Source organism: Homo sapiens, chromosome 15, assembly GCF_000001405.40.
Source record: "Homo sapiens chromosome 15, GRCh38.p14 Primary Assembly".
Classification (NCBI taxonomy): domain Eukaryota; kingdom Metazoa; phylum Chordata; class Mammalia; order Primates; family Hominidae; genus Homo; species Homo sapiens.
The window spans coordinates 45,655,120-45,678,214 of record NC_000015.10 but is presented as its reverse complement, the minus strand read 5'-3'; the positions used below and the strand labels follow the sequence as shown (position 1 = coordinate 45,678,214).

The window sequence follows — 23,095 nt, the reverse complement described above, 5'->3', positions numbered from 1 at the left end:
TTTAAAGTGTCTTCCCACAGACTTCTTATTAGTAGCAAGGGAGAAAACAAATTGTAATTATCCCCTGGAAAAACTGGACCACATCTTGACTGCTGATCAAAATTAACATCACCAATGAAGGGCAGATGAACACTGTATGCTTGCAAATGTGATACCTTAGAATGGCACAATGCTTATGCAATGTTCCAGTCTAACAAACAGAGCCTGAGGCCAGGTGCGATGGCTCATGCCTGTAATCCCAGCACTTCAGGAGGCCGAGCAGGTGGATGGCTTGAGGTCAGCAGTTCGAGACCAGCCTGGCCAACATGGTGAAACCTCGCCGCTACTAAAAATAAAAAATAAAAAAATTAGCCGGGCATGGTGGTGCACACCTGTAGTCCCAGCTACTCATGAAGCTGAGGCAAGAGAATCGCTTGAACCTGGGAAGCAGAGGCTGCAGTGAGCTGAGATTGCACCACTGCACTCCAGCCTGGGTAACACAGCGAGACTTCGTCTCAAAAATAAATAAATAAATAAATACATATCAAAGCCTGAAACTAATCACAAGAAAACACTGACAAACTCAAAATGAGGAACATTCTACTGAAAGAAAAGTGGTGGGGGAGAGGGCTGTATTATTTCAAAATATCAACGTCATAGAAGACAAAGAAAAGCTATAGAAACATCACAGATTAAAGGAGGCTAAATAGACCTCACAATTGAATGTAATACCTGACTGTAGCCTGAGTCCTGCACTGGAGGAAAAAATGCTACAAACACAGTTGGGCCAATCAACTAAATTGGAATACAAATAGTAAGTTAAAAAATTGTATCTGTGCTAAATTTCCTGAGTTGATAATGGTACTGTGGTTATGTAAGAGAACACTTCTATTTTAGAAAATTAACACTAAAGTATTTGGGGCTAAAGAGAGCTGATGCATGATATATGTAAATTTCCTTGGAAAAACTAGATATGGATGGATAGATAGATAGACAAAGGCAGATAGAAGAAAGAGAGAAAGAAAGAAAGGAAAGAAGGAAGGAAGGAAGGAAGGAAGAAATCAAATGATAAAGCTAAAGCAAATGGTAAAATTCTACAAGTGAATCTAGGTAAAAGCTACATACAATTTTCTTTGTACTATTTTTATTTTGTAACTTCTCTAAGTTTGAGATTATTTCTTTTTTTTTTTTTTTTTAGACGGAGTCTCACTCTGTCACCCAGGCTGGAGTGCAGTGGTACAATCTCGGCTCACTGCAGCCTCCGCCTTCTGGGTTCCAGCGATTCTCCTGCCTCAGCCTCCCGGGTAGCTGGGATTACAGGGATGTGCCACCACGCCCAGCTAATTTTTGTATTTTTAGTAGAGATGGGGCTTCACCATGTTGGCCAGCCTGGTCTCGAACTCCTGACCTCAAGTGATCCACCTGCCTTGGCCTTCCAAAGTGCTGGGATTACAGGCGTGAGCCACCATGCCCAGCCAATCCCTGTTTTCTTCAACTACCCACAGGGTTACTTCCTGCTCACAAGCAGGACTGTTTCTCACATGCCACCAATTGAGACAATCACCAGATCTTGCATTCGAGGAAGCCCTCCCTTACCTCTACACAGTAACCAAAGTTGTGGAATATTTTTGGCTACCTCAAGTGACTCGATGCCAGGAAAAGTTGAGTCAAAGGAATAGGACAAAAATTCACTTGGCACCAGCTAACGACACCTTCTCACCTCCCACTGACACAGCCTCTTACATCTTTCTCTTCCCCAACCATTTTGGCCTACCTTCTTGCCCTAACACTTCCCTAAGATGCTCATTTCACCCAGTCTTCCCCAGCACACAATGATGGCAGATAGGGTGGTGTGAGCCCCCATGTATCTATGGCACGTTTCAGCAGACAACGCTTCATGCTGACAGCTTAGCCTCACCACTCACTGAAATCACTTGGGTCTCTCCTGGTTTGTCCAGGTTCTCAAATACAGCCTCTTGTTTATCGGCTCGGACTTCAATGAGGTTTTTCTTGTAGTTAACAGTGAGGTTCCGCTCCTGGATGATCTCCTGCAGGGCATCTGCATACTTCTTAACCCCGAAAATGGCTCCAAGAGAAGTGTTGAAAATGATATTGGCCTTGGATCGCTTCCCTGTCTGAGAAAAATAAGAAAACCATTCACACCAAAGCATGACTGCAGCTGCCTTTTTTTTTTTTAATCCAGACAAGAATTAAAACCCTCAGCAGGGACCTTGCTAGCTTTTGCCACCATTATGTCCTGGCAGAGCAATGGGTAGACCAATCCACTGCCTCCTCCTTATGTTCTGCCCATGACATACAACTAAGTACACACTTGAGTTGGGGGCTGAGGTGGGCACTGTCCAGCTGAAGGCCAGAGGTGAAGGTTAGGTCCAGGTCAAGACAGAGTAGAGTAGAACGGAATGTTTATTCATATATTCATGTATTCATTTACTCAATAAATATTTAACAAAGTTCTAGAGTTGGCCAGATACTGTCCTAGGTGCTGAGGGAACAGCAGTGAGCAAAACTGAGTTCCAGCCAGGCGCAGTACCTCACACCTGTAATCCTAGCACTTTGGGAGGCCGAGGCAGGCAGATCACCTGACGTCAGGAGTTCCAGACCAGCCTGGCCAACATGGTTTGAGACAAGCCTGTCTCTACCAAAAATATAAAAATTAGCTGGGCATGGTGACAGGCGCCTGTAATCCCAGCTACTCAGGAGGCTGAGGCAGGAGAATGGCTTGAACCCAGGAAGCGGAGTTTGCAGGGAGCTGAGATTGCACCATTGCACTCCAGCCTGGGTGACAGAGCAAAATTCTGTCTCCAAAAAAAAAAAATAAACAAACTAAAAAACAGTAACAACAAAACCCTGAGTTCCTACCTTCTTGATATTGTTCAGAGAGGCCAATATTCTCCCAAATGCCTAAGATCAGAGAGGCCAATATTCTCCCAAATGCCTAAGATCTTATGGTACTCGAACCTTCCTCGTAGGCCATCTAAGACTTGGGAGAAAAGAGTTACACAAAGAAGTTTCCAGGACGGAAGAAACAGCTGGTTTCTTCTTCTTTCCTTTGCTCGGCTCCTTTCATGATTTGCTCACCCGGATCTCACCATTTGAAGAATTCAGGTGGGTAAGTGTCTCAAAAGGCTGTGCCAGCCCTTTATGACCCAGAATGAACTTTCTTGGGGTCAGAAATGATTACTGGAACTGCCTTTAATTCCCTACCTCACAGGGTTGTTGCAGTTTACAGAGCTCAGGGGAAGGTCTTGATCAGTCCCAGCCTCCATGAGCACATTCAACCACTCCCCAGCCCGTTCTTCCCCACCCTTCTTCCCATCTGTCCCCATACACGACTAGCTGCTAGAAATCCTGCCACTGTCTCAAGCCAAACCGCACTTTGGTAAACTAAATGTCAAACCCCAGGCAAGAGCAGGGAGGGCAAGAACAGCTTCCCTTACAAGCTTAAGCCAGGTGTACTTGAGCTGCAGACAACTGCTCTTACACAGAGAGCATTTGGAGAATGCTGAGAAAGTCTCCTCCTGCCCAAATATCTCTTTTCATGAAGGTTTAAAGTTCTATGAGAACATTTTTTTGCTTTTTAAATTGGCATTTTCCGTATCATATTTTTTTAATGTATACCCAAGGGACAGAAAATATTCATGACCTTAAACTTGAGTGGAAGTAGTGGATAGCATTATGGATAAAAATGAACAATCTGCAACTAATTGTCTAACTATATGGAAATATTTAAACAGTCTCTAACATATCTCTCCAGTAGACTTTTTTTTTTTTTTTAAGACGGAGCTTCGCTCTTGTTGCCCAGGCTGGAGTGCAATGGCACAATCTTGGCTCACCACAACCTCCGCCTCCCAGGTTCGAGCAATTCTCCTGTCTCAGCCTCCCCAGTAGCTGGAATTACAGGCATGCACCACCACGCCCAGCTAATTTTTTTTGTATTTTTAGTAGAGACGGGATTTCTCCATGTTGGTCAGGCTGGTCTTGAACTCCTAACCTCAGGTGATCCACCCACCTTGGCCTCCCAAAGTGCTGGGATTAGAGGCGAGAGCCACCACACCCAGCATCCAGTAGACTTTTACACACACATTTAAAAAGTATGTAACAAAGACTATTTAATATTACATAATACAGCTAAATTTTTCATGTACACTATGACTGTAACCATATTTAAGTATACAGAAAAAAAGCTGGAAAGCCATGTCAAATTGAAAACTGCAGCTTTATTAAAGCAATTGGATCATGAGTGATTTTCTCCTCTTTTATATTTTATAAACTTCCAGTTAACTAATTTTGTACACATGTAATAAAAATTCCGAGATAAAAAAGGGATTACAATAGAGATAAAATGGAATTCTTGCAATCAGTGAATTAGCACTGTCCGCCCTGCTCATCTCTGTCCCCAGAAAGGAAGCATACCTTCCTGAAGTAGGCTTCTGATAAGTACATGATCTTCTGAGGGGCTCCAGCACACTTCACTGGAGTATTTGGGAAGGTGAAGATGGCATTGCCCTCTTTGAAGTCCTGCAGAGCTTTCCATGTCTTCTCTACAGTCTTAACTGAATAATTCGACCCTATTTTGGGATGAGCGAAACCTTCAGGTAGGCCTTTAATCTGCAACAAAGTACACAAAAATTATTTTAAACAAAAGTGCAAATGTCTTTAGAGTCCTTGTTCTTTGCCATTTCTACAACCTTTCAAATATTTCAGTACTATCATTACCCTCCAATACCCACATGCCTAGAGCAGGCAGGTGGGTGAGGGTTCTAAGACCAGAGCTGTGGCACCTGTAGTCACCTGTCAAACTGCAGAATGGGCTCAGCTCAGAGGAACCCTTCAACTCCCTGGCCTTGAGAATACAATTTGAATACAACTTTTCCCACCATCGGAGTGAGGACAAGACGCCAGCCAGCCTTCCTTTTAGGAGACCCAGTTGCCTCACTGGAAAGAACAACTGGCAGGACCAAGAGCCATTTATATCATCAAGAATAGCAAACTTAAATCACTCTTTATCAGGTTGTACCAGACCAAACTCTAGATAAAGGCACTAAAGCCAGGTGCCTAAAAACATGGACTTTAGGATCCCACATACCAGTTTGAGTCCTGGCTCTTCCACTTACTAGCATTGTGACCCTGTGTAAATTACCTAATACTTCTAAGCCAGTAGGTCTCCAAGTGTGGTGCTCAGACCAGCAGCACAAGCACCACCTGGGAACTTGCTAGAAATGCAGATTATCAGGCCCCACCCTAGACCTACTGAATCAGAAACTGGGAGCAGGCCCAGCAATCTGTGTTTTAACAAGCCCTCCAGCTGATTCAGATGCACACTCAGGTTTGAGAATCCTAACGTTCACCATCTGTGAAATGGGGATAAGGTATCTGCTTCACAGGGTTGTAGGCAGAAGCAAATGAGGCCATGCATGTACAGGACACATGCACATGGCAAATGTCCTGTAAATGTTAGCTGATTATTGCCAATAAGATCAACTAGACACCTATTATAAATGTTAGAAGGCTCGTAGAGTGCAATGAAGATGTCACAGACTGAGTTAAAGAGACTTAAGCCTCAGTTCTCAGCAAGAGCAGGTTCAACTTCAATCATCAAGAAACAGTCATCAAGATGGCCTGGTCCTTCAGAGCCTCCCCAGCCCATTCTCTGGGCCACCTCCAAAGTCACTCCAGACACTTATCCCTGAGGTCTCAAGGAAACAGAGTCCTCTCATCTCCTCAGTGGCCTGAGTTCATTACTTATCACACTCAATGTTAAAAGCAACTATTTGTTACTGTTCACCCCTGTTACAGTTAGATAGTAGTAACATTGGCAGTCTCAATAATAATATCATTATTATTATAAAATCACCTTGCATTTAAATGTTTTCAAAGTTTCACATCAATGCTAACAATGGATATTCACTATGTACTTCTGAGGGAGGCAGGGGAATATTAACCCCTAGAATGGATGGAGCCCTGCCCAGAATCTTAAAGAACCAGACACCAAGGCCTCTGCCCACCTGCCTGGGGGTCTTCGCACAGGACCGCCATACCTTCTAGTTCCCAAAGCAAATCTCACTATCCAAGAGATAAACAAGCAGAAACAAGCAGTTGATGTCTTATCACCTTCATTAGTTTTCTCTAGTTTTAAGAAGCTGTCGTTGATGGAAAAGTTGCCGTAAAGTGGTAACCAAGCTCCTTTCAGGAAAACCTGCGTCAAAAAGGGTGGTTTTGACCCCTCATCTAGTCAGAGTTGCTTCCCTGGGAATTCTGAAGCAGAGAGAGCTAGAGAGGAGGGGAGAGAGGGAAAGGGAGAGTCAGGGAAAGAGATGAGATGTGACTCCTCCTTTGGCTTCCAGCAACAGGCTGTGCACTGGGGAGCCGTGGACTATCCTATCACACAGAGTAGACCGGCAGGCAGGACGGCCTGCTGCAGAGACCCTGTGAAGCTGGCCTGAGAAAGAGGCTAAGAGAGATGGACAAAGAGAGGCTGCCTGAGTCCAACAGAACCCAAAGTGGAGATCCAGCCCTGCCAGAGGCCCAGCTACATCCTTGCCCTAGTGTTCTAGAAACATCTCAGTATTTTCATCAATGATCTCTACTTTTTATTTACACCAACCTGAGTAGTTTCCTTGAAATTGCAATCAAAGAGTCCCAAGTAGCACAGTGACCATGGTTATTACATTCCCTTAGCCTCAGTTTCCTCATCTATTAAGTGAAGATAAAAATGCCTCCCTCACAAGTAGTTGTAAAGAATCAATTTTTGATTCCTGGCTGGGTGCAGTGGTTCACGCCTGTAATCCCAGCACTTTGAGAGGCTGAGGCGGGTGGATCACTTGAGGCCAGGAGTTTGAGACCAGCCTGACCAACACAGTGAAACTCCGTCTCTACTAAAAAAAATACAAAAATTAGCCGGGCATGGTGGTGGGCACCTGTAATCCCAGCTACTCTGGAGGATGAGGCAGGAGATTGCTTTAACCTGGGAAATGGAAATTGCAAGTGAGCTGAGATCACACCACTTCACTCCAGCCTCGGTGACAAGACTCCATCTCAAAAGAAAAAAGAAACAATATTTGATTCCTACCATGGTTCCTGGTATGTAATAGAGATTCCATAATAATGGCTACTTTTAAATATCTCTGTGACTTGGTTTGCTACAAGAGGCTGCTATGAACTCTGAGCACTGGCCTCTGCAGTGCTTCTCACATGACACTGGGGCTTTGGGAAGACAGTACCATGGAGACGCATTGCCTTTGCTAGGTCAACACTGTGGGGGCCTTTTTGGAAGGTATGGCCCCCTTGAAAGTAGTTGTAATAAACACCTTTCTCCATATCGTCTACTTCATAGCTTGTCTGTCATTCTAACAGACTCACGACCCATGGCACCATGACTCAAAACCATCTTACAACATTCACAACAACTTGTAGCTTCTCTGAACTTTCCCACAACACAACCCAAGACATTTTCACTACCCTTCCCCTGGACATGACACAATTCAACACACTTCAAAGATTCTTACTGGGCCAACTCTGTTGAGGCCCTTGCCCAGGTCACATTCCTGAAGCTTGTTACCCGGTTAGCACAGATGTTTCCTGTACTCCAACTATTTATCTGTAGTCCCCAACAACCTTCTGGAAATGATAATATTTACCGATTTACTCTGCTATGTTTTAGAAAAATGAAGTTGAATCTCAAAACTTTCAAATTGCATCTGGCTCCCTAGCTCACTGAAAACGGGGATCTGAGGAACTTCTGAGTGGCATTTCCATTGCATCGGTTACTTCACACTAAAAACCCAGTATCGACACAACAAAACCCAGATGTCCCTCCAGCAACAGACGAGCTAACTGCTGGTGTTCCACCCCTTAAAGTCTGCTTTAAAATTTATAATCTAAACCCTACTTCCAAAGCGGAATGTAATCTTCAATACAGCCAACTCTGTCCCACATAGAAAGACATGTTTCTTACAAATGTGGAAAGAAAACTGCTGTTTTGCAAGAATTAATCATTAAGGCATGAGCATGCTGAACTCTAATTAAAGCTTAAAGCTAGAACATATGGTTATTATCGACAGAATCTTAGAGAAGACTTCCTTAAAACTGTAAAAGGACTGCCAAGAAATAAAACCAGAAGAGATTTTCTTAGAACCCCTTTCTTGTCAAAATGAATATAATAAAGCAACTAAATGCAGCATTTGCTCTTGGCATAGATAAGCCAGCGTAACACAGAAACAGTTTCACACGGTACCTTCTCATAGTCCAGCTGGATTCCGAGAGCAATAATAAGATATCGGTAGGAGATCTGCAACACAAAAAGACATTATTTTAGACCAGGACTCAAGAAGCATCAACTCAAGGACTGACTCAGGCCCCAGATGTGGTTCCATGTGGTCTAAGGGAGGCAGGGAAATATTATTAGCCCATAGAACAGATGAGAAAATCGAAGCAGAACAAGGTTGGGAGTCCTGCCCAGGTTCCCATTTTTTAATCTGAATGTCTTGGGGCTGGGGGAGGTGGGCAGACTGGCAGGGAGGGATGCGTGTCCACTCCCATCATGCCCTCTGCCGTCTATGCCTCACACCTCACTGCTTCACAAATATTTTGTAAGCTGCCTAGCCCCAGAAAGCTTGAGACAGCTATGTGTTTACACAGTGAGAGGCCACAATTATTTGTACAGTGCTTGTATTAACACTTTTTCATATTGAGAGGTAAGAGAAGGGCTTCCTAATCTTAAAAGACAATCCACTGTCTAAAATCTATGGGGTAGGCCAGGCACAGTGGCTCACACCTGTCATCCCAGCACCTTGGGAGGCCGAGGCAGGTGGATCACTTGAGCTCAGGAGTTGGAGACCAGCCTGGGCAACATGGCAAAACCCTGTCTCTGCAAAAAATACAAAAATTACCTAGGTGCGGTGGCATGCACCTGTAGTCCCCAGGGGGGCTGAAGTGGGAGAATCGCTTGAGCCTGGGAGGTGGAGGTTGCAGTGAGCAGAGATCACACCACTGCACTCCAGCCTTGTTGATAGAGTGAGACCCTGTCTCAAAAAAAAATTAAAAAAAAATAAAAAATATATATATAAAAAATATATATTAGTATATTGTATATTAAAAATAAAAAACTAAAATCTATTGGGTAATATGTGAGTCCCAAGCAAGTCTGACCTGTCATGTGGATTGGACCAATATCGTAATTGGGAGATTGCTCTTTTGAGCAATCTCAAGGTCATTGAAAGGCTATGACATAGTGTACCTGATCTTATTTAATGACCTGTATGGGATGAAAAAAGTCCCTTCTTCAAATACGGGTATTGTATGCATAAGTAGCATGATGGAAATGTGGGTTTAGGACAAAGAGGAAGACAAGTTTAGGCCAAAAAGTGTAAACAAAGTGGCCGTAAAGTACAAGAACTTGCCTAGAAAACTGGAGTTAGGAAATGATTGCAGTGAGACTCAGGAGCCCAGAAAGAAGAAACAGGTGGTGATTACCATGATCCTGTACTAAATGGCAGAGCAGAGCAAGCAACCCGAGCGAATCGCAGTTGGAGAGAGAGGACTCCAAGACCTGAGAGTGCTTGGCTCTGGCTGAGGAGCCAAGGGAAGTAACGTGCAGTCAAGAGGCCCTGCCCTGGCATCCGGGAGCTTCAGCCCCAAAGCCACCTCCACAGCAGGCTTTCCCACTATGACACGATCACCCTCACCACTGGCCCCTCCCAGGAGCTCCCCAGCATAGTGTGCATGAGGCTTCCTAGCACTTGTTCTCCCCAGCACACTGACCACTCCTAGAGGATAAAAGTTATGTCTTATTCCTTACATTCCTAGAATCTAGCACAGTCACTAAATTAAAGTGAGGAACTCTGTAATGTTTGGTGGGTGAATGGATAGATGAATGATTTCAGTTGCTTGTGAAAAGTACAATTTCTCTAAGTGGAAGATAATATAAGCATTTTCATCTGTATGTTTTGCCTATCCATAGAAAGATGATGTCTTGGCCAGTGCAGTGGCTCATGCCTGTAATCCCAGCACTTTGGGAGGCTGAGGCGGGTGGATCAAAAGGTCAGGAGTTCGAGACCAGCCTGGCCCACATAGCGAAACCCTGTCTCTACTAAAAATACAAAAAATTAGCTGGGTATGGTGGCGGGCGCCTGTAGTCCCAGCTACTCAGGAGGCTGAGGCAGAAGAATTGCTTGAATCCAGGAGGTAGAGGTTGCAGTGAGCCAAGATCACGCCACTGCACTCCAGCATGGGTGACAGTGAGAGACTCTATCTCAAAAAAAAAAAAAAAAAAAAAGAAAGAAAGAAAGAAATAAAGAAAGATGATGTATTGAAATTCCATCTTCTGTAGGAAAGGGCACCAGGCCCGTTAAATGGCCGGCCAAACCATGTTGAGCAATCCGGGCATATTAGGTAAGAGCTAGCATGGGGTCTGGTAGTGATGATCTACAGGTGAAACATATGACCACTGGAAACAAGAGGAGCTTTTGGTTTGTGCAGGCCACCACCAAACATGATGCAAATAATATTGATTATGCTCTATTTTATTAGAGCATAATATTCATTATGTCTAAGGACTAAAAACATGCCAGCTTAAGATTATGGGGAAAAAATCATTAAGAGAGAATAAACCCTCCATAGCAAGAAAGCAAGAAGAAAACCTCAAGCCTTTTGAATGAGTTCAAGTTTTCAGGTCAGATGACCTAAACCCCCAGGAACAGCAAAAGCTTATAGACAAGACTTTTGAGCAGTTACGCACAACAGTGTAGACCTTGCCAGAAGGCTGAATATCTGCAAGTATTCTCATATTACACAGGGGTCAGAAGACGTAAACTCTGACACGAACATCTTAGTAAATAGGCTATTAATCCTTTGCAAAACTCTAGACTCAACTACTAAATAGACATTTCATAGTAATTTTTTAAAAGATTAGCTGGGCATGGTAGTGTGTGCCTGTAGTCCCAGCTACTCAGGAGGCTAAGGTAGATCGGCTCAGAACTCTTGAGCCCAAGAGTTCAAGGAGCAGTGAGCTGTGATCTCACCACTGCACTCCAGCCTGGGCAACAGAGCAAGGCTGAAGGGAGAGGAGGGGAGGGGAGGGGAGAGGAGGGAAGGGGAGGGGAGGGAGGAAGGAGACAAAGAGAGGAAGGGAGGAAGGAAGGAAGGGAGGGAGAGAGGAAGGAAGGAAGAAAGGAAGGAAGGAAGGAAGGGAGGGAGGGAGGGAGGGGGAAGGAGAAGGAAGAAAGAGAGGGGAGGAGAGGGGAGAAAGGAGAGGAGAGGGGAGGGGATGGGAGAAAGGAGAGGAGAGGGGAGGGGATGGGAGAAAGGAAAGGAGAGGGGAGGGGAGAGGAGGAGAAAGGAGGGGAGGGGAGGGGAGGGGAGAGGAGAGGAGGGGAGGGGAGGGGAGAGGAGAGGAGGGGAGGGGAGAGGAGAGGAGGGGAGGGGAGAGAAGGGGAGGGGAGGGAAGAGAAGGGGAGGGGAGGAGAGAGGAGAGGAGGGAAGGGGAGGGGAGAGGAAAAGGAGCACCAACATAGGTTCACAGATGATAAGCCTGCTGCTTTCAATCAGCAATCAAGAACTGCTGGCATATAGTAGATACTCAATAAATATATCCTTTTCCTTTTTATGTATTCTTTTAAAAATAACAGCAACATTTATTGAGCATTTACTCTGTGCAAGGTGCTGTTCTAAGTGCTTCATATGGTTTCATTCATTTAACACTCACAACAACTTCATAAGGTATCTAGGTACTATTATTATTATTATTTTACAAATGAAGAAACAGACACAATTTGCTCACAAATATTTACTGAGCACCTTCTATGTGCCAGATATTGTGCTAGGTCCTGGGCATAAAACAATGGACAAGAAAGATACACTTCCTGCCCTTCAGGAACTCCATCTAGTGAGTGAGATAGGCATTACCAGATAATGACACAAATAATTACTAAATCACAGAATGCTGTGATAGCACATCAAGGGATAACCTGACCTAGTCTGGGAAGTCAAGGAAGGCTTGCCTGAAGGAGTCATATCGAAGCTAAAGATGAGTAGCAGTTAGCTAGGGATAGAGGTGGAAGCAGCATGTGCAAATGTCCTGGGGTAAGAAAAAGGCTGAGGCATTTGAGGAAATAGGAGGCCAGTATGGCAGGAGCAGGAACAAGGAGAGAATAGAACCAGGTTAAGCCTGGAGAAGGAGCAAGGACCAGTCTACACAGGGCCTTGAGATGTGTTTCAGACAAACACACCCCCGGATCAGGGAAGAATCAGAGACACACTGAGTCTGGGTTTCAACAGTGCCTTCAGCTCAGTCTTTCACCAATAAGGTGGGAAAGTGTAAACTAAGAATGGAATGGGCTGGGCACGGTGGCTCACACCTGTAATCCCAACACTTTGGGAGGCCGAGGTGGGCAGATCATCTGACGTCAGGAGTTTGAGACCAGCCTGGCCAACATGGCAAAACCCTGTCTCTACTAAAAACACAAAAATTAGCTGGGCGTGGTGGCACATGCCTGTAATCCCAGCTACTCGGGAGGCTGAGGCAGGAGAATCACTTGAACCTGGGAGGCAGAGGTTGCAGTGAGCCAAGATCACACCACTGCACTCCAGCCTGGACAAAAGAGTGAGACTCTGTCTCCAAAAAAAAAAAAAAAAGACAGAATGGAATGATTTGGTCACTTGAATAATATTTGCTAAAGAAATGTTGACTAATTTTGTGCAATCTAAAAAAGCTCTCTAGTGACATGTTACAGAGTTAAAACTTTGAACTTATATGAAACCACCTGTGAATAACAGATAGAAAAATTGCTAATGGATTGACAGAGTCATAAATCCAAAAGACCCAGATGTGTTGGGAGGATGAATTAAAACCAGCAGGATGATTTCTCACATGAGATGTCATGTGTATTTCTGATATCTGGCTATGAAGTCGTTTTGCTTCATAAAATCTTGGAAGAAAGTCCCACTACATTGCACCAACTTCTCTGCCCTAAAACAAGACACTACAGCTTTCCTAAGTGTCTAACCTTAGGAGTAATAGGTAGGACTCAGCAGTGAGAACACCTAGTAGTGCCTGTCATTCCCAAGAGATGAGTAAAGTATATGGTCCTTGAGATGAGCATGAACCCAACCACCGAAGGCTCTAAAGCTCTTCCTGTAGCTTGAAGGGGTCCAAACAATGAGGCAGGCCCTGCTGTACCAAAGAGATGCTGTGTGTGATATGAGAGAGGTCTCCTGGCCCTGTGTTCAGGAGACTGGCAAGGTAAGAGAGCCACCAAGCTCAACCTTGTGATTGAGAACAATCTTGAGTGTAATTCAGTCTGGTCTCCCGGAGACATTGAGAAAAATAAGAAAGTTCTGAACTAGTAACAGGACAAAAGCCATATATAAAAATTTTAATTAAAATAAATATATATGCATATAGGTATTTGCTTATATATATTCATTTCTGCCTTTAGGTAAAATCAATAACAACTATACTTTTTCAGGATGGGGGAAGCCTGACTTGATCGTGGGTCATGTGAAAAGGGCCCAGCAATTTGCACCGACCTCAAGCCCAGCATGAATCAGCACCGTGGTAACTGTCACGAAAAAGGCAAATGCTAACTTATGCAGCATGAGATCATGGGAGAGAATGGCTCCACGCTATTCTGGGCTGTTCTGTAAAGTTGCCTTCTTTCCAGGCACCTCTTTCATGGGGCACTAACAAGCCAGATGGTGTTTAAAGCAGAATAAAGAGGGGGCTGGGGGGACTGGAAACCATGAAATGTGAGGAAGAATTGAGGGACATGAGGATGGGGGGGACACATATACCTAGAGAAAATTTACATAAAACATAAGAGCCATCTTCAAATAGCTGAAGGGTTTCTCCACAGAAAAGAGAGAAGACATTCTTCTCTCATACACAACAGGACAAAACAAGGAATAAAAGTATTAAGAAAGGTATTAAGTGTATTAAAAACAATAACATCCTGGGTGTCCAAGAAAGAATACAAAAAAAGTTACAGGAAGGTGGATTCTGGCTCAGTGAAGACAGAACTTTCATATAACCCACGTGTCTAAAAAGATGAAGAGTTAACTTATCAGAGAACTCCTTGGCCATGGACTATGTAAATACCAACCTATTTTAAATTCAATCCCCCACCTCCATGTGCCCCAATACCAATTAGCTCCAAATCAGCTCTATTTTTTTTCATGAATAACCATCACATTCTAACATACTATATAATTTACTTATCATGTCTATGTTGATTGTATGTTCTCCCTGACTAGAATATAATATCCAGTTCAATAAGAATTTGTGTCTGTTTTTGTTCACTACACATATCCTTAATGCCTAAAACTGCACCTGGCTTATAGTAGATGCTTAATAAATATTTGTAGAATGAATGAATGGAGGCCAGAAAGCCAAGGATCATAAATGCTATACAGCAGGTACTCTTTTTTTCTTTTTGTGTTTTTTTTATTTTTTTATTTTTTGGAGACAGCTCTGTCACCTAAGACGGAGTGCAGTGGCGCAATCACAGCTCACCACAGCCTTGAACTCCTGGGCTCAAGTGATCCTCCCACCTTAGCCTCCCAAGTAGCTGGAACCACAGCACACACCACCACACCTAGCTAATGTCTTAATTTTTTTTGTAGAGACAGGGTCTTACTATGTTGCCCAGGCTGGCCTTGACCTCATGGGCTCAAGTGATCTTCCTACCTCAGCCTCCCAAGGTGTTGGGATTACAGGTGTGAACCACCATGCTCAGCCAAAGCAGGTACTCTTGATCAGGGTCCAGGGAAAAGCTACAGAAAATCTCTGAACTCCCTAAAAGCAAATGCAAAATCTGATACATAGGTGCATTTTTCTAGAGAGGGCTTTCATCTGGTACCCAGAAAGATCCATGACCCAAAAAAAGCTTAACAATGCCTCAGCAGGCCGGGCACAATGGCTCACCCCTATAATCCCAACACTTTGGGAGGCTGAGGCAGGTGGATCACTTGAGGTCAAGAGTTCGAGCCAGCCTGGCCAACATGGTAAAACCCCGTCACTACCAAAAAATACAAAAATTATCCAGGCATGGTGATGCGCACCTGTAGTCCCAGCTACTGGGGAGGCTGAGGTGGGAGAATCGCTTGAACCCAGGAGGTAGAGGTTGCAGTGAGCCAAGATTGTGCCACTGCACTCCAGCCTGGGTGACAAAGTGAGACTCTGTCTCAAAAAAAATAATGCCTCAGCAGATGAATCTCTGTTGGAGGAAGGGTTGGACTTGAAAACGTTTTAGGATCCTCACCCAACTCTGATTCTACAATTCCGTGAAAATGCCAGAGTCCCAGTTGAAGGGGGAAGGGGCAGAGGATTAAGACCAATAACACCTTGTGAGTCCAAAAACCACAGGAGCCTGGAACAGGTCAGAGCACGGTGGCTGCACTGCCTGCCCCTGCCCTGGGCTCAGCAGCAGGTGGGGGAAAAGAAAGCTGCAGATGGCTTCTGAGCAGGCCTTCCACCATCCTGCTCTTATCACCTCAGTCAAACATGGGGCGGCCACTGCTGAAAAGCTTTGACCCCTGAGTGGTGAGGGTGGGAGACTTCTAAAAGGTGCTGAGCAGTTGTGAGCCTCAAGCTCCAGCAACAATTCTCCTTAGCGCTGGCATGAACCTCAGAGTCACAGGATTCCCCTACAGTTCTGGTAGAGCGCCCCCCAGGGTGGCTGGATGGATATTTTCCAGCATCCTATTGTTCTGGGAGGCTAGGCGACCGGTAGAAAATCTGATTGCTTCAGAAAAAGAGAAGGAGGAAGGTGCTTGCTATTTTAACATGTAGCAACGTATAAACAAATGGTCTGATAAACATTCAGGTGCAAGATAGTATACTAAGCAATAGGGTGCACAGTGGGTGTTCAACAAATACTTATCTTAGTTGTTTATTAACTCAATATCACTCAGTCCTTCCATCTATCCTCCACTTACCACATACCCTGCCATCTTGTGTAGTATTCAACACACATACGTTCATGCACACACATGCATATATACCGCTCTTTCAACACAAGGCTATCCAGTTTAAGATGGCTGCATATTAATACAAGCTGTCAGATTAACAAAAAATCTAAAGGCCTCAGTGGTTACCTTCTCGTCGTCATCTGTGTGAATGCAGTTCTTGTCTGGGTTCAACTCAGTCACTCTAGCTTTGATCCATTCTACACCAGATGGAATCACACTTGCCGTGGGACGACCAGATGAGGACAATTGTTTGGCACCAGCACCCACCAGTGTCCAGATTGGCTGGTAGAAATGTCTCTGAGAAACAAAGTATTTGAAGATTTATTGCAATTTGACACTGATCAAAAGGGGTCATAGCTAACAGTATGGGCTAGATTCTTTCAATCACTCCCTCCTGACCTTTAGAGCATCGTATGGAAAAGTCTCCACAAAGTTAGCTCCGTCTATTAGGCGTCTCCTATTATGGTAAGCTCTGAAGGACAGTCACTCCACACAAGAATTCTTCCAAGATCATCAGAAAAGCTATAAACTATCTTTAGTGACCACTGCATTATGTATTGCTGAAAGTTGATTTGGTGTTTAATATGTACATGTTATATGCACGTGCATATCTACACACATATTATGGATACTTCATGTGAACAAATATTTTAAAAATTAAGCCCAGCAGCCTAGATATGGTTCCTCAGGAGCATGTGGAGACAGTGGTAAGTCTGGAAAGTTTACAGCCCCTTCCAGAGGTCCTCTAAACTTCATTAACTTCCAACTGTGTTTCCCAAGCCCAGTGAGGGCTGTGTTTCCTGAACAGCCCTTCTTCTACTTTCTCAGAGACTCAGAGATTTTACACCAAAGACAATAAGTACCAGATCCTACTCCACAATGCAATGCATACCCAAACTTTCACTATCTTCTGGAGTTTTCTTGCTTCAGATGGTCCTTTTTTTTTTTTTTTTTTTTTTTTAAGACAGAGTCTCGCCCAATCACCCCAATCACCCAGGCTGGAGTGCAGTGGCACGATCTCGGCTCACTGCAACCTCCACCTCCCAGGTTCAGGCGATTCTTCTGCCTCAGCCTCCTGAGTAGCTGGGACTACAGGCATGTGCCACCATGCCTGGCTAATTTTTGCATTTTTAGTAGAGATGGCATTTCACCATGTTGCCTAGGTTGGTCTTGAACTCCTGACCTCAGGTGATCTGCCTTCCTCAGCCTCTCAAAGTGCTGGGATTACAGCCCTGAGCCACTGTGCCCAGCAACAGTCCATTCTTGATCTAAGTTAGTTGTAAAAGTTCTGGACATAGGGGCAAAGGGCAGATTTGTTTAATGGCCTCTAAGAATTCCAATCCACTTAGAGTAGACTGGGGACCAAGAGCTCTCAATATTGCCAAAATGCCTCAAAGTAGCTGGCCAGCACTGCCAAAACCCACAGAGAGGTGAAGAGGACACCAGGAATGACTTTGCAATCTCCCTACAAGCAATAATGTGATCCAAGAGGGAGGAAGACAGAGGTCTCCATTTATGAGAGCTCATCAATGGCCAGTCTATCTTGAACAGTAAGAGGAGCAAAAATACAAGCTCAGATTTTATTTTTAGACTATGAACATCAGCTCCAGCTATCACTAAATCAGACTCAGCAGGGAAAGTACCAAGCCTGGGGCTCTGGCAGCTCCTTCCAGAAATTCCTGTCCTGTACTTCCTCACGGGGCAGGACAAACTTGATTCTGGCCGCCTGAATTGTGCCCAGGTCCCAGAAGAGCCAGTCTCCTTACAAAGAGAAGCCTGACTGGGAGACCCGCCCACGCATTAGCTAAAATACAACATATACCAGAAACAGTAGCCACCTGACACAGCTCTCAGACCACTGTCATTTAAAGTGAGGTTCCTGAATTGAACAGACGTCACTTTAAAAAGGAAAATGATAGAGACTGCCCCCTAGTTTCCTCTCAAATCATGGCCCTGGTTAACATCATTCCCTGCTGGGGACAAATCTTGAAAAGGAGTATGTCTTCCTTGTCCTGTCCTCCCCCTGAAACAGGCACCTGATCCATTTTGCTTTTTCCTCCCAAGGATACAGCTCCCAACCAGTACATGCCTAGTTCCACAGGAAACATTAGGCAAACCACCAAAAATCTTGAATATTTTTCTGAAGCTTTTGGACAATCTTAACATGTTTTTTGTGAGACAGCGCCTTACTCAGTCTTCCCTCCTAGTGTCAGCTACCTTTTCTCCCTTATAATCTGCCCTTGCATTTAAATTTCTAAGCCCACTGACAGCTTTCCAGAGGCCTTCCTGCTCCCCAACTCATCATCCCTTCTCCAGACAGGAACAGATAGGCAAGTGCAGTGGCCATTGATTTTCCTCTGGGCAGGAGGTTGGCACTGGGAGAGTGTCATGGGTTGAATTGTATCTCTCTCAAAGAAGGATGTTGACGTTCTAACCCCAGTACCTGGGAATGTAACCTTATTTGGAAATAGGGTCTTTGCAAATGTAATCAAATTAAGATGAGGTCATTCTTGAATAGAGTGTGCCATAAATCCAATGAATGGTGGCTTTATAAAAGGGTCATGTGAAGACACAGGGACACAGAGACACACAGAGAACATTCTGTGAAGATGGAGGCAGAGAAAGGAGTGGCACAGCTACAAGCCAGAGAGTGGCAAGGATTTCAGGGTAACCACCAGAAGCTGGGAGAGAGGCATGAGACAAAGCCACCTGCCCATCCCTCTCACCCAGGCTGCAGAGGGAGCATGGCCTTGCCCATAGCTTGGTTTCAGGCTTCTAGCCTCCAGAACTGTGAGGGAATAGATGTCTGTTGTTTTAAGCCACCCAATTTGCAGTAATTTGTTATGGCAGCCCTAAGAAACTAATACAGAGGAGAACACTAAAAGCCAAGAGATCTGTTCTCCCTCTCTCTTTCCCTCCACTTCCTCCCAGTCCTTCTGGATAGGCTGCTTTCTGTGCCCAGGAGAAGCCCTAACCTGAACATATGAAGACCCATTGCTTGATAGTCATATCCAACCCCAGAACACACACACACACACACTCACACACACACACACGTACACACACACCCAGGCCCTCAAAAGGGGAGGCTTACCTCACTGGGCTCAACAATGGCCACATTCTCTGCACCCACTTTCCTCTTCATGCGGGCAGCCATGGTGATTCCGCCACTGCCCCCACCCAGCACCAGCACCTCATAATGGTTCCTGGCCGCATGGCTGGCCCCGGTGTGCAGCTGAAGGGGGCCGACCTGCTGAGTGCCCAGCCTGAGCAGGCAGGCAAAGAGCTGGGCACGGGGCCCTGATACCACAGCCACCAGTGGCACCATCTTCAGGCAGGATCAGGCTGGAAGGGAAGAGACAGGGCTGTGAGTGCCAAGGTAGAAACCATCGTGGGACTGAAGCGTTTTCTTTCCAGGAGGAAGGGAGGCCGGCATCTGGCCCGCTCCAGCTGGTCCCCATCATCTCTCAAGACCACTTTCCCCACTGGCTGTGGTCCCAAGGTCTCCTGAGAGCACCCAATTGGTAGCTATCAGTTGACTACACTTACCATTTCTCCCCTTCCGCCTACGTTCAGGCTATCGAGGACTTTGTTTGAATCAGGTTCCCCAACTCTTTAAGTCCTTCCTAATAACCTGTCTGTACCCATCCTTGTCCATCCGTAAGATCTAGGGCACCATCTGGTTGTATCCAGCTGTTGGCCCATTCTCCACGGAGGCACACTCCCCAGTGCTTTCTGTGGATTTTCAGTCCATTAAAACTGATATACGAGTCCACAATTAGAGACCTACAACATTCCTTGCAGTAAAAGGCACCTGAGACCTTGTTGAAACAGAAACCGTCTAGCAAGAAACCCACCTTCTGCAACTCAGAGTACCCACCAGGGCAATCAAGGCCTCAGCCCCCATCCAGAGGCCTCCTGGCTCTGCTTGCCCAGGGAAATATAATGTAATCAAATCACTGGCTACCGACACACAAGTGAAGGCCCTCCACACCTCTAGCAATTTCAACCAAACGATTTTAGAAAGCCATAAAAGGAGCCCTGCCTGGTATCATAAAGTTATATTTTATGGAAGGAATCTGTATATGCTGCTGACTAGTCTTTTATTACATCCAATTCAGTAAACAATTTCTCCTTAATAGTTCCTCCGAGAGACTCACTTTACCTTTAAGAAAACCTGTTTCTACTCTCAGCAGTTAGTGCTTTGGCAGAGAGGAAATTAAGGCTTCTCAAAGACTGACCTTTGCTTTACCCCACACACAAAGCTGGCCTGACATCCAGGACTCCATCTACTTGTAAACCTTGAGTGGCTCCGGCTCATGATATCTCCCTCCCTGGGTATGACAGTGCCCCAAATCCTACCGTCAAGTCCAGTTCTTAGGGTTCACCACTGCTCCAAGAACCCTTTATTAAAATGCAAGTGTCCAGCTGGGGACTAACACTTCTAGCTGCTAAGGTTACTAACTACTTAATAAAATGACTTAATTATATCATTTCCATCCTCCCGACTGGAGAAGAGGAAGCCTGCACAAGGGGATTAGAGAAAGCTGGCAGGGCAGAGGAGCTACAAAAAGAAAGAAAGGCCTTGGAGAGGGGGAAAAATAATAGGGAATGGGAAAGAGGAGCTGAGGGGCTGTTAAGATTAACTTAATTCCAGAGTTTTGGTGCCCCGACAACTTCTTCAATATTTCAGATCTGAGAAGCAACCTAGAGCTGTAGGAAGGGGATTTGGAGGCCCACGGTAAGTAGGACAGGCTCATACAGTGTTTCCAGGAGTCTAGAGTCAATAAAACCCTTCTGGAAACTTACCCTTTGACCCTGCATTTCCATTTCTAGGAATCTAATCTAAGGAAATAACCTCTAATACTGAAGAAGAAAAACCACTACAAAGATGTTTTTCACAAATGTATTCATAATCTGGTCACCCCTCTACTAATTGGTTTGTGGATTAGGGCTAATTATGTCCTGGGGACAGAAAAAAAAAAATGCAGGCTCCACACGGGCCAGGGAAGGCTCAGGTCACCACTTTAATATGGGGGCAGAGAGCAATGCAAATATCAAAACACTGGGGAAAGGTTAACTAAAATATGGAACACAAGATGATTTCTGAAGTCTTTTAAAATTATGTTCATAAACAATATATAGACCAGGCGTGGTGGTTCACACCGGTAATCCCAGCACTTTGGGAGGCCAAGACAGGTGGATCACCTGAGGTCAGCAGTTCAAGACCACCCTGGCCAACATGGTGAAACCCTGTCTCTACTAAAAATACAAAAATTTTTAGCCAGGCGTGGTGGTGTGTGCCTGTAATCCCAGCTACTAGGGAGGCTGAGCCATGAGAATTGCTTGAACCCAGGAGGCAGAGGTTGCAGTAAGCTGAGATCATGCCACTGCACTCCAACCTGGGTGACAGAGTGAGACTCTGTCTGAAAAAAACAATAAAATAAAATAAATAAAAAATGTTTACATCATGATCAGGATACAAATTAGAAATGCAATATTCTCTCAACTATGTAAGAGGAAATATATTAGAAAAAACAAAGCCAAAATTTTAACACTGGCAAGTGGTTTTCTCTGGGTTTTAGAATAATGAGTGATTTTGATTTCTTCTGCTTTTATGTATTTTATAAAAGTCTCTACTATACACATACATTAATATTGGCTGGGCATGGTGGCTCACACCTGTAATCCCAGCACTTTAGGAGGCTGAGAGAGAGGGATCACCTGAGCCCAGGAGTTTGAGACTAGCATGGAAAACATGGGGAAACCCCAACTCTATTTAAAAAAAAAAAAAATTAGCCAGGCATGGTGGTGCACCCAGCTACTACCAAGGCTGAAGTGGAAGGATCACTCAAGCCCGGGAGGTGAAGGCCACAGTGATCTGTGATTTCACCACTGTACTCCAGCCTGGGAAGAGAGGGAGACCCTGTCTCAAAATAAATAAATAAAATTAATATTAATAAAATCTTCCTTTAGATGATAATTAACATTTACAAAGTCCTTTACATAAGCATTTAACTTGTGAGTTGGCTACCACCATCATTCCCATTTAACAGATGGTAAAACTAAGGCAGATAGCAGTTAAGTGACTCTCAAAGTTATATAGCCCATGGGTGGACTGTGATTTGTACCCAGGTATTTTGGTGTGAGAGCCTCTACTTTAAACCACTACACCATACTATCTCTATGATCTTTAGAACAATATGTCTCAACAGCAACAAAACAATGCTTGTGTGATAATGTTAAACGGGGAAAAAAAAAAAAATAGGCCAGGCACGGTGGCTCACGCCTGTAATCCTAGCACTTTGGGAGGCCAAGGCGGGCGGATCACAAGGTCAGGAGATCGAGACCATCCTGGCCAACATGGTGAAATCCCGTCTCTACTAAAATACAAAAAAAAATTAGCTGGGCATGGTGGTGTACACCTGTAGTCCCAGCTACTGGGGAGGCTGAGGCAGGGGAATCACTTGAACCCGTGAGGCGAAGGTTGCAGTAAGCCAAGATTGCGCCACTGCACTCCAGCCTGGGCAACAGAGTGAGACTCTGTCTCAAAAAGAAAAAAAAAAAAAAGATATACTTTCTACAACTTCCCAGAAAAGGGAAACCATTTTTCATGATACTGATACCTAAATATTAGCAATGGTTTTAATGATTATAATTATTTTCCCTCTTCTTTGTATGTACTTTTCACAAATTTTCTTTAATACACTGTACATTTTAAATTTTAAAAATTACTCAAATAGATTTTTTTTAGATTGAAGAGAAGAAGAAATCACCAAGTAAGATATTGATGTTTCATACGGAAGGAAGAAGATATTTTATGGTGTGTACCCAGTCATCACATCCTGCTTTTCTTTCTAAATGTCCACAGAATGATAGAATCACAGCAAAACTTCTCACTTTCCAGAAAAGAAAAATCATGTTTTTCATGGTCCTGACACTATATCTATCTCCATGGGAAAAGCCCCATAGGAAGCGCCCCATGGGGCAGGGGCAGGAGGAGCAATCTAGGAGGAGGCCTGGCTAAGTTTCTGGTTTCCAGCCACCCTGTCTGAGGTTATTTGGCCTCCAAGTGATACAAGAGTTAAGAAAAATTTACTTAGGCAGATAGTGAGGGTATGGAAGTCCTCGG

General features: G+C 44.5%; 1 protein-coding gene across 2 annotated transcripts in view; it reads right to left on the bottom strand.

Moving 5' to 3' along the window:
- The window catches only part of SQOR (sulfide quinone oxidoreductase), a 60,134-nt gene that overhangs the window by 13,067 nt on the left and 23,972 nt on the right, over positions 1-23,095 (bottom strand). For both annotated transcript variants that reach the window (NM_001271213.2, NM_021199.4), the window contains 5 exons: positions 19,058-19,308; positions 16,090-16,260; positions 8,234-8,287; positions 4,414-4,608; positions 1,905-2,114 (listed from right to left, as the gene is read on the bottom strand). In NM_001271213.2, coding sequence (NP_001258142.1) covers positions 1,905-2,114; positions 4,414-4,608; positions 8,234-8,287; positions 16,090-16,260; positions 19,058-19,291 — 864 coding nt within the window. In that variant the 5' untranslated portion in view covers positions 19,292-19,308. The remainder of the gene's footprint in view (positions 1-1,904; positions 2,115-4,413; positions 4,609-8,233; positions 8,288-16,089; positions 16,261-19,057; positions 19,309-23,095) is intronic.